The 16,418-nt window shown below is 42.5% G+C and overlaps 1 protein-coding gene and 1 long non-coding RNA gene across 5 annotated transcripts in view; one reads left to right on the top strand and one right to left on the bottom strand.

Moving 5' to 3' along the window:
* Positions 1 to 14,693, bottom strand: part of LOC105372546 (uncharacterized) — a 94,422-nt gene extending 79,729 nt beyond the window's left edge. The window contains exons 1-3 of one of the 2 annotated variants that reach the window (XR_007067541.1): positions 14,611 to 14,693; positions 13,007 to 13,063; positions 12,780 to 12,857 (exon numbers count right to left, since the gene is read on the bottom strand). This is a non-coding gene — a long non-coding RNA (uncharacterized LOC105372546). Of the gene's footprint in view, positions 1 to 12,779; positions 12,858 to 13,006; positions 13,064 to 14,610 lie in introns of those variants that run through there. The other variant, XR_007067540.1, reaches the window with a different exon arrangement.
* Positions 1 to 16,418, top strand: part of PCSK2 (proprotein convertase subtilisin/kexin type 2) — a 258,472-nt gene that overhangs the window by 86,099 nt on the left and 155,955 nt on the right. The window lies entirely within an intron of this gene.

A 16,418-nucleotide genomic window follows, 5' to 3' on the forward strand; every position in this document is an offset into this window, starting at 1 on the left:
AGTCTTCCTGCCAAGCCCAAATTCTGAAATCAGTGTGGGAGCAATCAGTGGGTGACATCCATCTCAGAGTCAAAGAAACAGGGGACTTCTGATTCCTTGTAATTTCTCTAGAAGTAAATCCTCTTTTCCTTGACTGGCACTCTTCTCTTTTGAGGGCCAATAACAACCTACTCATTAAGAACCATTTAACATTTTCCAAAAATACTTCCAAAACCATTAACTCATTTGATCCATGTATCAATTCTATGAAGTCAGTAGGCCAAATATTAATATTTGTAGTGAACAAGAAAGCCAAGCACGAAGTGTTCAAAAAACTAACCCGACAACAAACTGAAACCCTGGATATTATCAGGATAACAAAAAAATCACCTGACCTGACCCCCAGTTAGGAAATTTCCCACTGTCCTATGCACTGTTCTGCACACAGTAGGAAATTTCCCAATTAGGGGCCAGGTCAGATGATTTTTTTTGTTATTCTGATAACATTCTTCTCTTCTAGACTATGAGAAGAGAGGTGCTGTAGTGGTGGAGAAGCGAGTGTGTGTGTCCCCAAGAATATTTTAGGTATGGCCACCAAGTTAGCCCTAAAGAAACTACAATTAAACTAGGAAATAGAGCAGATAAACTCTGTGTCTAGAATTCTAAACTTCTTAGATTTATATGTCCTAAACCCAAGTCTTTCCCGTCTCTTTTCAGGCTGTTCCCACAAGTACTGACATTACTTCCAAAGAGGAGAATTTGGGTCACTAATCTAGCGAAAGCATCTTCCCCTCTGAATTCACCATCAAGATGAATGCTATCCACTAGAAATATAAAGGAAGCCACATAGGTGATCTTAAATTTTCTAGTGGGCACATTTTAAAAAGGAAGACAAGGCAATTAAAATATAATTTTAATAATATATTTCACTTAACCCAACATATCCAAAATATTACCATTTCAACACATGATCAATATTCTAAACTACATTAGTGAGATAGTTACACTCTTATTTTCATTCTTAGTCTTCAAAATCCAGTGTGTATTGTCCACTCACAGCACACCTCAACTCAGACCAGCCACGTTTCCAGGGCCTCAAAGTCCACACCTGGCCAGGAGCTGACGGTCTAGCTCCTGTGAGTAAGCTAGTCCTCAGATTTTATAAAACTCTCTCTTCAGGGTTGTGCTCACCTTCCCCCTCCCACTCCTGCTGCTCCTGACCTCCATCACCAGAAGAGACCCCCAAGAGCAAATCATATTTTTGTTTCCAAGAGGGCCCACTGACAACACTAAAACCCAGGAGGAAGCAGTTGACTTAAGACCTTCGAGTGACTCACTTTGTAGGAAAAGCAGAGAAAGGCTGGCAAACAAGAAAAACATAAGCTCATTTTTCTCCCCCTCATCAACCTCATTCCCCAACCTGTTTGCATCCTGAAGAGGGCAGAGGCCTCCAAAGTTGCTTTAGAGGGCAGAGGCCTCCAAAGTTGCTTTCTGGGTCACTGCGGGGTGATTCACCCAACAATAGGCTATAATTTACAAGGTTTTTCTCTGCAAGTCAACTCTTGCTAATGGAAGGACGACATGAATGTTGAGGCTGACAGGCTGGAAGATAAGAGTAGTTGTTTGTTCCCTCAGCCCATTGAAAAATCCAGCCCCAAACCCATTTGAAGAACAGTTCCTAATAGATAATGAGACACAAATCGTGTGTACCTGATTGTAAATGAATAGCTCATATGCACAAAGCAAACTGTAAAACCTCCATTTCTCAGCCAGGATAGCACTCCATTAATGATGTGCTTTTGTTTCTTCCAAAGACTAAGTGCTCCTTTCCAGGAGAAAATAGACCTCAACCTCACCTCCCCACCCACCATGTCCCTACCCCCACCCCAAAGAGACTGCATTACCCTGAGTATTAATATACATTGCCTAACAAATAGGCAGGCAACCAAAAACTGAGCAATTTTAGCCATTTAAACCCTGTCTTGAAATAGCAACTCACTGGATAAATGGACCTACCATTTAGCAATTTTCAAGATTTCCAACCTGCTTTGATTTCCTCTCTAGGTAGTTTTTTATTTTGTGTTTCAGCGGGCATCAACTTTGCAATATCAGGAAAAACCAGAGCCAGGCTTGAAAATAATGCTGAGACATCTAGACTCAAACCCGGGACACAAGTGGGAATGAATCAAGCCGGGAGGATTTTTCCAAATCTACAGGAAGTGAAATTCTTCTGCTCCAGGCAATGTTTATCACCCATGTAGAAACCTCATTGGTTTGGCAATTGTGAGCTAACAGGGTATGGCCTGAGTTATGCTCTGAATAGCTTACAGTTACTGCCTTGGATGTGAACGATTTGGGAGGGACAAGTCTGTGCAGTGGCCTAAAGTGAGGCGTGAGTTTGTGCCTAGCTTGTCTGTGAAATTGGGTTTGTTTTTTCTGCTTTTACTACACATTAAGCCAGATGAACACAAGGACACCAGTTGTTACTTTTGAATGATTTTTAAAATTACATCTCTAGTAGGGAATATTGATTTACTTTATTGATTTTTTAAGATCCTTTCTATTTCTTTAGTGTCTGCTAGTCAGTGGCCTCAAAAATTGAATTTTCACGTGTTGTCTTTGCCACTTAACATTATCAGAAGCTTCTTGAATGTTTACTAATAGAAGTGTGACTCCTTTCATGCTTGCTGTGTCTAATGTTATTTTTGTGTTAGCAAAATTGCTCTTCAGGAATATGCTGATGGCTAACTTGCAGAAATAGAGATTTAGGATAGACATAATGAAGGACTTCCCTACAACACTGGATATTAAATGCTGAAAAAGGCTTTTCAATTCCTTCCTGAAATAAGCCAGGGCCATAAGCACTTAGCCCACTCTATCGAAGTCTCCCCGAGAAAACCCTGCGGCTTTCTCTGCGGATTCCTCCAGCCCAACACCGAGGAACCAGGGCCTGGGACTTCTGGAGTCCCTCCCAGGACTAATTCCCGCTCTGATGCCCAGCACAAATTTATCATAACTGCCTGACTCTCTCAGTGTGGTGTGGTGGTGGTGATGGTGTGTGTCTTCCTGAGTGTGTTGGTTGGGGATGTGGTGGGAGGGGTTGGCCAGAGAGTTGAATAAAGAGGAGGAAAAAAAAAAAGGAATTAGATTTTTCAGAACTGCACAACCAAAGATTTGCACACTTATTTATAGAGGTGACCCGTGAGCTTGGTTGACCCTGGATGCTTTTCTGCGCTATAAGGGAACCCGTGGGTGGCCGATCACTCTCTGGCCCTCCAGAGGGGGCCTCCCTCCTGCGCGGAAAGCGTCCCGGTGCACAGCGCCCAGCTCCCGGGTCTCTGTCGGACCTGCGACTCCCGGCGCCTTTCTGGTGCCCTCCACGCCCTCCACGGGCAGGGGCGGAGCTGAGGGGCCCACACAGCTCCCTCTGCCCCAAACGGGGCAGAGAATGAGTAGGTGCCTGCAGCCAGGGGCGCGCCCATCCTTTCGCACACAACAGGCTCCTGTTCTCTAGGCAGTGATTAAGTGAGAAAAAGAGAAGCCTGGCTTGGGGGTGAGTCTGGCGCTGGGTGAATGTGAATCGCCGACACGGTCTCCTGCAGGGCTGCGGCGTCCTGGCCCGTGGCTGTCATTCTGTCCCGGTGCTTCACCCCCGGCCGGTGTGAAGCCAGTGTGAATCCATGGCCCGCGCGGACACACCCGCCAAGCAGGCACAGGAGCAAGGGGCTCTAGCTGCGTCCACTCCCCAGGGTTAAAAATTAACTGTCCGGCCTTGCTGGCATCTCTGTTGACAACGCGATCATTCCTGCTGGGAGCGAGTGCGCCACAGAGATTAACTCTGCCTCTCCAGTCAGGCCGCCTGGGTTCCACTCCTAAGCCTTACCCTCTTTAAGGCTCGTTCTTCATAGGTCAGATGGATCTCAGTCGTCCTGACCGCATAGGGTTGCTCAGGCATAGAAGGCACTGGGCACCTGGTGTGGGCAAGTTGTGCCTGCTCAGTAAATATTAACTACCGACTCACAGGACATGCCTCTCTTTTTGCTACCCTCGCACGTTTCTTTTCTCGTTTCCTTCTCCATTGTCACTGACCCAGGGTTGGCTGATATAAGTGAAAAACACCAAGGGTGCCGTCTGTTATCTAAGTCATGCAAATGCTTTAAAATTATATGTCTGTGTATGTATGAATATATGTATCAGGCTCTGGGCACATAGAGGTGAAATATCATGTAAGCAAGCACTTGTATAATTTTCTTCAGATAACAAGCTTGAAAACACAGCCTCTACTTGTTTCCTTCCCTTCCCTGTCTCCCTTTCTCTACCAGAGCTTTCTGGACCATCTCCAAATAAACTACTTGCTCTCAAATCCCAGTGTCAGAGTCTGATTCTAAGTGAATCTAGAGTGCTGGCAACCCAGAATCCTTTTCCAGGATTCAGGATGGAATCTTACAGGAGATACACAGTCCTATAAAAAGTTAGAATAATAACGCAGCATCAATTTGTGCTTGATCATTAAGCTAATAATGCCTCCTTTCTCCACCAGCCCCATGTTTCTGATACTGTGATGTGTGATGTTGTAGTTGTGAAATGTAATATTGTGATGTGGCAGACAGATTATAAGAGTTGAATGCACCAGGAGATTTCCTGTGGCATTATAAGAGTTGAATGCACCAGGAGATTTCCCGTGACATAAGTAATTCTCAGGCCCTATGAAGTGCAGGCTTTAAAAAAATCTGGTTCAGCAGCCAAAAGTCATCAAAAATTAATGCTAGTATTTTCTCTCTCAGAGAATGCTAATGGGAACATGTTCTAAAGTCCACTTTTCTTTCCTTCCTTGTTTTCTCAGCTTTTTGAGAGTGCCACATTCTCTCTTTTTGCCCTGACATCTCCCAGCTTCCCAAACATTCTGACTCAGTCTTTTCTTCTCTCCCAACAGATGCTCCTGCTAGCTCTTAGTTAGGTAAATCAACTTAGCCTCTCTATATGCATTAATTCTCTCTCAGTTCCCAAACTCTCCCTAATAAAGAAGAACTTGAGAGTTGACTCAGCTGTCCCCCAGTATAAAGTGGTGGGCATGAGGGAGAGAAATGTGAATTACTGATACATAATTTTCCCCCTATTAAACTTTATTCCTTGGAACATCTTTGTGAATTCTGCAAATTCACAAAGATATTCATAGTCCTATATTCATTTGAATTATCCAAAGCTCCTTCCAGACCCAGTTGACCCATCTTTTCTTTCCTTTTCTCACTGGAGTGGGCATAATTTCCTGCCATTTCCCACTGTGCTGCCGCCAATTCTGGCTGTGTCCATTAGTGTCCCTCTTGACAAACTTGGATTTGAAAAATGGGCAACTAAATCTTCATTTATTAGACGTGTTTTTCTTTTACTAACAGCTGCCATCTGTTCCTCTCCACCTCAATACAACTCCCCCAATCCCTCCAGCATCCTTTTTGGACATTTTCATTCCAGTTCCTCTTTATTCATGTGCACATTCAATTGCCAGACAGTTTTTGAAAGAGTAGAAATAAGAAGTAACAGAAAATAGAAATAATAATAAAATACTACCCCCAAAATAAAAGAGACATGGGAAGAGTTTCTTTTTTCAAAAGGGAACACATAAACAACACATGAAAGGTTGGAAAATAACAAAGAAAATAATTTTTTAAAAAAAGATGTAGACGCAGGAAGGACAATTATGGAATGGCTGGAAAGATTAATAATAACCAAATAGCTTGAGGGTTGCCTGCAGCAGAGATGAAGAGAATAAATCAGAATAGAAAAAAGGTTTGCCTGATTCTATTTTACAGACAGTCTCTTAAAATGTATGTGTCATTCAAATTTGTTTTGATGTGTCAGTCATCTCCAGCATTCATCCTGGGCTTTGGATGCTACTTAGTTGCACGACTGGATGTGTTCTAAGATCTGCCATGCAGGTTATATTCTGATTTACTTGCTTACAGTGAGCTCCTATTTGGAACATAGTTCTGAATGCCAAAGAAAACCAAAGACAGAACACTTCCAGCTCAATTTCCATCTATAAAGTGGTCAAAGAAAACTCCAGTCCTTGAACTTGTGTTCTAGTCTTTTATGCACTGTTTAGAGGTTCTGCAGGGGCTTTATGCCTGCCCTCTGTGAGAGATGAAGCATGTTACCGGCTCCTGATGAATGGACATTTAAGATCCAAAATGTATTGAAGTCGAGTTGTCATCACGTTTTTCATTTGCCCAAGTCCTATATCCAAAAAAAAATGATGTTTTTCATCATTTCATATAGATGAAAAACAACATTACCAGCCCCTGTTTCAAAGGCAAAATGCATTCTGCATTGTATATGAGTTGGGTAATGTCAAGTGTCTGTGATTGCAGCGTGGGAGTTGTTTTGGTCTGTTTTATTTTGACTTAAGTCAGGAAACAATAAGTATGTTTGTCATTTTCCAAACAATATGGTCCAAAACCACTTGTGGCTGGTGTTCTTTCATCTCCACGGGGCATTCCACCCAACAATCACCATCTGCCAGGGACGCCTATGAATGTCAAAGTTCTGCTAGGTTTCTCTGAAGCCTGCTTCTGCTTTCAGCAGCTTTGAATAAGCTACAGGGCCACAATTTACTTCTATTGTCATTTCTTCAGGGAGATAGAGAGAAATACATCTGCCACTTTAGACAAGAAGCCCATGGGAAGAGTACACACACAATCAGAACAGCCAGAGCAGGATTATTCAATTCAGCTGCAATCAGAAATGGGGGAATAAGACAGAGAAGAAAAGCCCCATCTTGTTATGTGTAATGCTCATTTCTGAGCCAGTGTTTGAAGACAGATCATGCTTTGTGAGAAAAACATATTTTTTCATCAGATAGGATGTAATCAACCAAGAATTAATCATTAGTGAGCCATTAAATAATTAATTGTAAATTGTAACTAATTTCTGATTATTAAAATGACTTTTTTTTTATACCTGGGCTCCTATAATTCCCCATTTTAAATAGTTACCAAGCTACGCCCCGATAAGATAAAGACAAAAAAGTTGCAATAAGTTAGCTTTGGCTATGTAACAAACCATTAAGACATAATAGATTACCACAAAAAGTATTTATTAGTTCACTATAATCTGGGTCAGGCATTTAGGATGAGTTCCGCTAGGCGGATCTTCTGCTTGTCTTGCCTGGGGTTCCTCACGCAGAGGCAATCAGCTGATGGTGTCAGTAGGAGCCGATTGGTCTTGAACGGCCTCACTCACATTTCTGGTTTTAATGCTGGCTGCTGTCTGGGAGGTGCAAGGGATTGGGCCCTGTATATCTCCAACAGAGTAGCCCAAGATTGTTCACATGCTGGTGGTCAACAGTGTTCCAAGATGCAGCAAGACAGAACAAGCCCCAGTGCAGAAACATTTTTCAAGCATCTGCTTATAGCATGTTTACTATATTCCACTGGCAAAAGCAAGTCACTTGGCCAGGTCTAGGGCCAGTATGGGCAGGAAATCACAAGGGGGTGAACACTGGGAGGGGGGTATAAATCAAGGACGTTACTGCAACAACCTACCACAGACGTATCCTTGAAAATGCTTTTATCCGTATCACCAGACCAAAACTCTAGGGACTTTGAATCATGTAAGCATGTGCCAAAATGGATCTCAGCTATCTTCAAATCCTTCTTTGGACAACTTAAATTCAGAAAGGTGACTTTTTTGGGCCCAAAGTCACATGACTAACTCAATACTACATTAATTATGAAGGTATTGGCAAGCATCTGGAATCACTGATATAGTAGTTTCACTTAATTTTTAGGATAGGAAAATTTATTTATAAGGGGAAAATCTATCAGGACTAAAGAGTCTAGAAAATATTTTCAGAAAGAAAAGACAGAGCTCAGGTGGGCAGGTAAACAAGCAGATGTAATGAGGGAAAACCAACTGAAGCTCAAGGTGTTATGTTTTTCTTATATTATTTTCAGATTCATAAGGCAGTACTTCTCAAACTTCAATGTGCACATGAACTGCCTTTCCAGGGAGAACTGTCCTACTGCAAAAGGTGTATGCCCAGGAGACACTTAGCTCTCATCCATGTTGTTCCCAGAAATCATATAGAACTCATAGGACATACTCTGAAACCTGAATTCCTCCTCCTACAGTGCACCTTAGGGAGACTCGTTCCCTTGGTCGCAAGACACATCCTCCTGGAATCAGTGTCTTCTTTTCATAACTGCAGTTATCCACTGCAGCAGAGAAGAGCTGAATTCTCATGTCTCCCCTCCCTAGCCAGCCCACTTGATCTAAAAGTGTTCTGTACCCAGGTCAAGTTCCTCAGGCAGCACCAATGTGAAAGTGAGGAAGTGAGACAGGAAAGGGAAGAAACACCATAAAGTGTGTGTTTTCAAGGAAATTACCAGTGTGGGCAACTGGGACTCAGGCTTGCTGAGCACCTCTGGGAAACTGTGGAGAACATGACTCAGTCATCCACCCAATGGGAAGAAAGTTGGGTGTTTATCCACAAACTCCCTGTCAGAGACCGCTGGAGGGTGCTCGGGGAGGATTAGTTCTCCAGCACATCACTCTTCCTTAGGCACACAGCTAGTGAGTCAGAGAAAAGCCTTCAGGCAGAGACAGTATTTTGGGGTTTCTAAAAGCAGCTTCAAGCTTGTACAGGAGAATGCAGAAGGAATATGGGAAAGGCTAGAGTCCTTCTGCCTTAACCATCGCCGGAGTACTAACTAGAAAGTCAGGACTAGCTTAAATGTATAATGGTTGTGACTAAAACCAAGGCAAGCACATGAAAAGCAACACATTAGTAAAACAAGCAAAATGTTAGGCATCAAACAGCCCTGTCGGTTATTTCTGCCTTTTCCCCCTTCTGTTGACTGGTTGGGTTATGTTGTTGTTGTTATGCCAACCAATAATGTCTCAGCTGCCTTAAATAAAGTATTTGTTTTCAACATTATTCACCCAAGTTACTCAACAGGAAAGCAAAGATTTTTTCCTTGCTTTCCATTAGGAAGCAATATTAGTTAGATCTGGATTTCATTCTGTCCCTGTCGTCTCTCAAAACTGTGACCTTGGCCAAGTTATCCTCCCTCAACTTCAGTTTCCTTATCTGTTAAAAGACAATAGCAATTCTGACCACATAGGATTGCAGTGACAGAAGTATGTAAGCAGCCCATCCATGAAAGGCACACAAATGTTGTCCTCCTTCTTCCCCACTCTCCAATACTCTCCTCACTGCTGAGGATTAAATTCAATTCTACTTAATCAATTTATGTTGAAGTTTTACTGTGTGTAGACTCTGTCTTGGATTACATAGCAAGTATAGAGCTAATAATCCTTTCTTTCTAATAGCTTTCCATTTTGGGGAAAGACAGGCATATAAAGCTCTAACAAAATCAGGTAATGATAAGTACTTCTTTCAATGTGAAGAGCATCATGCTCTGATCCTACAGGGAGAAACAAATTATCCTCTATTTTCTTGTAATTTACATAACAGTAGTTGATTCCATAATTCACTCTCAACTGCTAGAGTCTGCAAGATTCCCACCAACTGCCATCTTCAGCAGAATTGTATTACACATGAAAAAACCTTTGACTAACCTCTAATTGATTCCGACATTCCAAGAACTATTAAAAAGAGTTGAAAATAATCTAGAAACTGCTGACTTGTATCAGGCATAGATTTATTCAGACAAAACAGAGAGACAGAAGGATTTTGAAGTGAGATGGTTTTGTCAATTGGGCATAACAAAGGAAGAAAAATAAAAATTATCGTTCATGCTTTGAAAATCTCTCTTGTGATGTACCTCTCTGCTACAGTACCTGGCATTTAGAGGTGTTTAACCAATGTTAGGGAAGAAAACTAACACTGGTTAAACACCTCTAAATGCCAAGTACTATAACAGAGTACTCATTGATCATTTTATTCAATCTTATCTACTCTTCAAAGCCCACAAAAGAAACCTGTTGATCAAGCAAAGCTTATCACACTTCCTGCAATAAGAGAGAACATTGTCTTAATGGAGAATGGTTTTAGGGCCTGAGCTGGGTGATTTCGAAGTTGGTCTTGCAAGGCAGGGCACTTGTTGGGACTGGAAAAGTTTATGAAAAGTTTCTTTGGGTTGGTAAGCATATGGAGGTAAGGGTCTTGAAAGGAGTATTGATGAGTAAGTCATCAATCTTGATAAGTAAGCTGTTTCATTGGTGTTATGGGATAAACTGTGCCCCTCTAAAATTCATAGGTTGAAGGCCCAACCCCCCTTCCTCAGAATGAGACTGTATTTGGAGATAGGCCTTCAAGGGGGTAATTAAGGTTAAACAATGTCATATGGTTGAGCCCTAATCCAATATGACTTATGTCTTAGTTCATTTGTGCTGCTATAACAAAATGCCATTGACTGAATAATTTATGAAGAACAGAAATTTATTTCTCACAGTTCTGGAGGCTGGTAGGTCTAAGATCAAGGCCAAGGCCAGCAGTTATGGGGTCTGTCAGGAGCCCAGTCTCTCCTTCCAAGATGGCACCTTGTTGCTGCATCTACCACAGGGAAGGAACACTGTGTCCTCACATGGTAGAAGTGATGGAAGGACAAGAAAGGTGAACTCTCTCTGATGCTTCTTTTATAAGGGCATTAATTTATTCATGGAAGTGGCACCTTCATGACTTAATCACTTTCCAAAAGGCCCCAGTTCTTTTTTGTTTTGTTTTGTTTTGTTTTTCTTGAGATGGAGTTCACTCTGTCACCCAGGCTGGAGTCCAATGGCGTGATCTCGGCTTACTACAATCTCCACCTCCTGGGTTCAAGTGATTCTCCTGCCTCACTCTCCCAGAGTAGCTGGGATTACAGGTGCATGCCACCACGCCTGGCTAATTTTTGTATTATTAGTAGAGATGGGGTTTCACTATGTTGGCCAGGCTGGTGTCAAACTCCTAACCTTAGGTGATCCGCCCACCTCAGCCTTCCAAAATGCTGGGATTACAGGCGTGAGTCACCGCACCCAGCCAAGGCCCCACTTCTTAATACCACCATAATGGGAAGTAAGTTACAACACATGAATTCTGAGGGACATTCAGACCATAGCAAATAGTGTCCTTATAAGAAGAGGAGATTAGGACACAGACGCACACAGAGGGATGACCATGTGAGGAAACACAGGGAGAAGACAGCCATCTGCAAGCCAAGGAGAGGTGCCTCAGAGGAAACAAAACATGCCAACACCTTGATCTCGGACTTCCAGCCTCCAGAACTGTGGGCAAATAAATTTCTGTTATTTATAGCCACCTGTTCTCACAGCCCTAGCAAACTAATATAATCGGTTCACAGTCATCTTTTTGGTACTTCCAGAAACAGGAGATTAAGTAACATACCCAAGATTACAAAGCTATTAATGTGGAGCCAGGGTTCTAACTTCAGTCTACTGAACTACAAAACCAAGTTCTGCATATTTTAAACTTTCCTCTGAAGCAGAAACAAATTATAAATAGGGACTAAATAGAAAGTAACTAAAGCTTTGTTATATGTTTCTTCAATTGCTCAGTTTTCCATGGGCAGCACAGGGCACTCATTGCTGTTTCTTTTCTACAGCCTCCAGCCTAGGACAGCATTTTTGTTTATAAGATATAAAAGCCAGCCAGTGTTTTATCCAGGTGAGCTGACACTCTTGTGTCCCACCCACTGTCCTCAGGCCTGACCATTTCTGGGAGCAGAGATTCTGTGATTTCCAACTGCCAATACCTGCAACTCTTCATCTTAGGCAGTTCCCACTTGGCCCTGGTTCAGGGCAGATTGGAAGTTCTGAGTAGTGAATGCTCCCCACCAGAGAAGCCCTCAACCAATGATTGATGGGAGTTGGTGGACAAATACCCCAGTTCCCTCCTCCCTCACGTGGGATGACTCTGAGACATGTTTTCTGTACTATTCCCAGAATTCCCCAATGGGATTGACACCTAGTTGTGGACAGTAGTAACAAGCCTGATAACATACCTTGTATTGGCTGCCTTTTCTCCCCATTGTTGCTTTTTGGGATTGCCTCCTAGATAAACTATACTCAAGTCTTTGTCTTGGGGTCTTCTGGAGAAGCTCAAATGATACCAGGCTATAACCACTGGCTCCAATCTGACAGTCACCTCCCATCTCCAACACCTCTGTATGGATCTCTAGGTTTCTTAAGCAAGAGGCCACTTTCTTTAACATGACCTGGAAGAGCTGGCATGATCTGGCACCTACCTACCTATTCTTATCAGGGTTCTTAGGTTTAACAACAGAAGTAGAATCTGGGTAACTAATGCAGAAAATGAATTTATTACAAGGGCATCTCTCACAGAATCAGATTAGCAAGATGGGAACCAGGCTGATTTAGAGACGAGTAACCAAGGCCCTACCATAAGAACCATCGACTTAGGACACTCCTGCAGACCCTAGCCCACCTTGGTCCTGATCACCCTCTTCCTGCTGCCAGATTCCACAACCCAGATACTCCCCCTACTGCTGAATGTTCAGCTATCAGTAGCCCCCATGGAACTCTCTAACCAGTATGTACCCTCCTGGCCCTCCCGAAAGACTTACAGCCTGAGAAGGAGCTGTGGGCTTGATATGCTTAAAAAGCATGCTCCCACAGTGCATGGAGAAAGGTCTCTTCCCCTACTTCAGCATCTGCAGAAGGAAATGGGGATGTCCCAAATAATCAGGGTGCTCAAATACTGGGTTGCCAGAAGACAGACCCCCTACTGCCTCACAGCCCCCTCCTCATCCTGAAGTCCAGCCCTACCAGGCTTTGTGCAGTGTCGCGAGGCCACCATGCTTCTCCTTGCCACACAGTGTGCATAGAAGGCTCCCCTCTTCTGCCCAGTCAAACTCCTCTTGGCTGCAGAATTCAGGTCAGCCTTCCTCGTGGAAGATTTCCTGAGACCACAAACATGTCAGATCCCCCACAAATGCATGCACAACAGCTTTCCTTTGAGAAATTCATCTCCCTTGTAATTGCATGTCATTTGCCTCCCTCCCAAGAAGTCAGCTCCCTGTGGGTCCAGGCTGTCTCCACTTTTACTCACCCTGTGTGCTCAGCACCAAGCAGAAGGTCCAGCACATATTAGGTACCAAATAAATAGCTGTTGAAGAGATGAATAAGTGAATGAACACATTTATAAGCAGCTCAATTTTGGTTTTTCACAAATCACTACACAGTTTGTAAATAGCAAAAGACATTGTCCTTTTGGCTTAGAGGTGAGGCAGCTCATATTTTCAATGAGAAAGATGTTCTCTCATGACAGACACTAAAATAACCCAATGGGGCGTGTGATCACCTTGATTACATGTTCCCAAAGAAATACTTTTTTAATACCAAATATTTTTCAAAGTTTTTATAAAGCCTTCCATCTACTCAATGGTAGGTCATATCTCAATTAACTATTGCTACGTAACAAATGTAACAAGTGTCTCCAAAGCTCAGAGGATAAAAACAACAATCATTGGTTATTGTCCATTCATCTAGACGTGGGCTGGGGTAAACTGTTCTAGATGAGGCTCAGCAGAAAGCGACAATGCTCCACGTGCCTCTCATCTTTCTTAACTACTAATGGGCTATCCCAGGCATGTTCTTCTCAAGCCACCAGTGGGCTAGCCCAGGCATGTTATTCTCAAGCCACCAGTGGGATGGCCCAGGCATGTTCTTTTCAAGCCATTAGTGGTATAGCCCAGGCATGTTCTTCTCAAGCCACCAGTGGGCTAACCCAGGTATATTCTTCTCAAGCCACCAGTGGGCTAGCCCAAGTATGTTTTTCTCAAGCCACCAGGGGCCTAGCCCAGGCATATTCCTCTCGCTGCAATGACAGAAGCAAAAGAGGTCAAGTGGAATCACAGGAGTCCTCTTAAGGCCTAAGCTTAGTCATGGCCCACTATCTCTTCTGCCCCCATGCCATTAGCCAACACAACTCAACATGATCAAGTCCAAAGTCAAGAGTAGGTTAGTACCTCCACCCACAATGGGTACAGCAAAGGATGAAAATTCAAAGCCAACGAGCAATCTACCTCAATATTAGAGGTCAGGTGAATGATAAGAAGCATTTAGAGAAGCAAACAGCCAAATGGCAATCAAGCCCTCCATCAGCGTGTATGTTGTATGCCTTTGAAAAGCTGTCAGAGACAGTACTTGTCAAAACTGTCAAAGTCATCAAAAGCAAGAAAAGTCTGAAAATTGTCACAGCCAAGAAGAACCTAAGGAACTATGATGAATAAAAGTAATATGGAATCCTAGATGAGATTATAGGTCAGAAATAAGACATTAGTTAAAAACTAATTAAATCTGAATAACATATGGGCTTTAATAATAATATATCAACATCGTGTCATTAGTTGTGAGAAATGTACCATACTAATGGCAGATGTTAATAACAGGGGAAATTGGGTAAGGAGTATATGGCGACTCTGTGCTTTCAACATTTTTATAAATCTGAAACTATTCCAAAATAAAAATAAAATGGTTTTAACAAACACAGCAGTCAGAGATGGAATGTGGTTTATGACAGCAAGAATTATTGCTTGTCTAGACTCAACAAGTTCTTAACCTTATTACAGTCTTACAAATGACGGATTTGTTATCTAGGGAAGAAAAAGCCCTCTTCTGGGACTCTGAGACAAAGGATTTATTTGTACCCACCTGAGACGTGCTCAGAGAGGGACTGGAGGTGCATGGAGAGGGCTCCTGTCAGAATCTTCAATCCGGGGGAGGCCAGCTGCCTGGGATGTGGGGCTGCCTGCCCTCAGTCCCTATGCAGCCTCCCTTTGGGCTCCTTCCAGCCTCACTCCACTGTGATCTTACTCTTCTCAGTATATCTGTAGTCTTCTCATCCTCCCCCTTCTTCTGTCTCCTCATCTGTGTGAAAAGACTGGATGAATTCTAGACCCAACTCCAAGCTTCTATACGTTTGCAGTAACACAATGTAAACAGGCTAACTTAAAAGTCCACAGCTACAAGATCATTTATTTTTCAAAATCTAATTGAAGTCACAGCTCCTTTCAAAGAAAGCACTGTTCACCTCAAAGAAGGTATCCTGAGACCACGAACAGATCAGATCCCCGACAAATGCATGCACAACAGCTTTCCTTTGAGAAATCCATCTCCCTTGTAAATGCTGTGTCAATCACATTCCTCCCAAGAAGTCTGCTCCCGGTGGGTCGGGGCTATGTCAACTTTGGCTCACCCCTAAGTCCTCAGGACACAGGACATAAGCAGATGCATTTTCCGAGGGCGCCCGGCCTAACTGTAAGTCTCGTGAAGGCAGGGGCCAACATGAATACATCCTGTATCCTCCAAAGATTTAGCAAAATGCTAGGTCCTGTGCCCTACCCCGACCCCCACCCGTAAATACCAAGGAAGGAAGACGCCCTCTGCCCCTTCCCCTCTCCTCCCTGGGGCAGAGCGGCGCCCGGACCTGCTCGCTGCCATGGCAACGCGGCGCTCCCTCCCATAGACAGTGCACCCTCCACGAAGTCACCGAGCAGCTGCTACCGCTGTGTCTCCGCCAGTGCCATTTCTGCTTCCTCGAATTTTAAATTGGCCAGAATAATACAACAAATTAAGGTATTTGCTGGTTTCTATTACCATTTTTTGGTAAATCACTTTTTCCCTATTAATGCATGGGAAAGAGATTGCCAGCAAACACACCATTAATTTCACTGAGAAAAAGCTTTAAATGCTCAGTCATGTTTTTCTAATACAATTCAGTGCTTCCAAATTTATTTACTGCTGCCTCAAAAACACCAAGTAAATCATGCTTTTATACACGCACGCGATGCCCATGTTGAGAAGAAATTTGCTAAGCGGCTGTGTTTGTTGAATCCTGAGCCTGCCTCTGCACCTAGAACAATCCCACCATGAAATGAAATGAATGCTTGCAAAGATTTCTTACTTCCTCCTTTAAAGAGTGGTAGGAAAATGAACAAAGAGGATAAAAGGAAGCAAGCTCATCATGCATTCACCAACGTTAAATTTCCAAACGGTAGTTACAAAGCATTTTTAAATTTAAGTTTCATTAAAGATTTGGAAATATATTGCTTTTTTTCTCTGACTTCTCCCAGAAAAGTTTTTGGGATTTGGGAATTTTATGTGTAGGTTTTCCACAATGGAGTTTCCTTCCCATGTATGTGTGTGTGTATTTTAATATATATATAATTATATGTTACACATACCATATGCAATATATAAATATTACCTAACATATATTACATAATTATATATTATGCAATTATATATATTATAAAATTATACATAATTTTATATATTGTAGAATTACATATAATTATAGAATTATATGCAATTTTATATATATTAAAATACATAGACAAACATAATTTAGTACATATTTATTAGCAGTGGGGATATTTGTAATGCAGATAATTACCTGCAGCTTTAAATGACAGTTTTACTGATACACTGTATGTTTGGTGAGAAAGGGTGCTATGTAT

The sequence above is a fragment of the Homo sapiens genome, chromosome 20 (assembly GCF_000001405.40).
Source record: "Homo sapiens chromosome 20, GRCh38.p14 Primary Assembly".
NCBI lineage: Eukaryota > Metazoa > Chordata > Mammalia > Primates > Hominidae > Homo > Homo sapiens.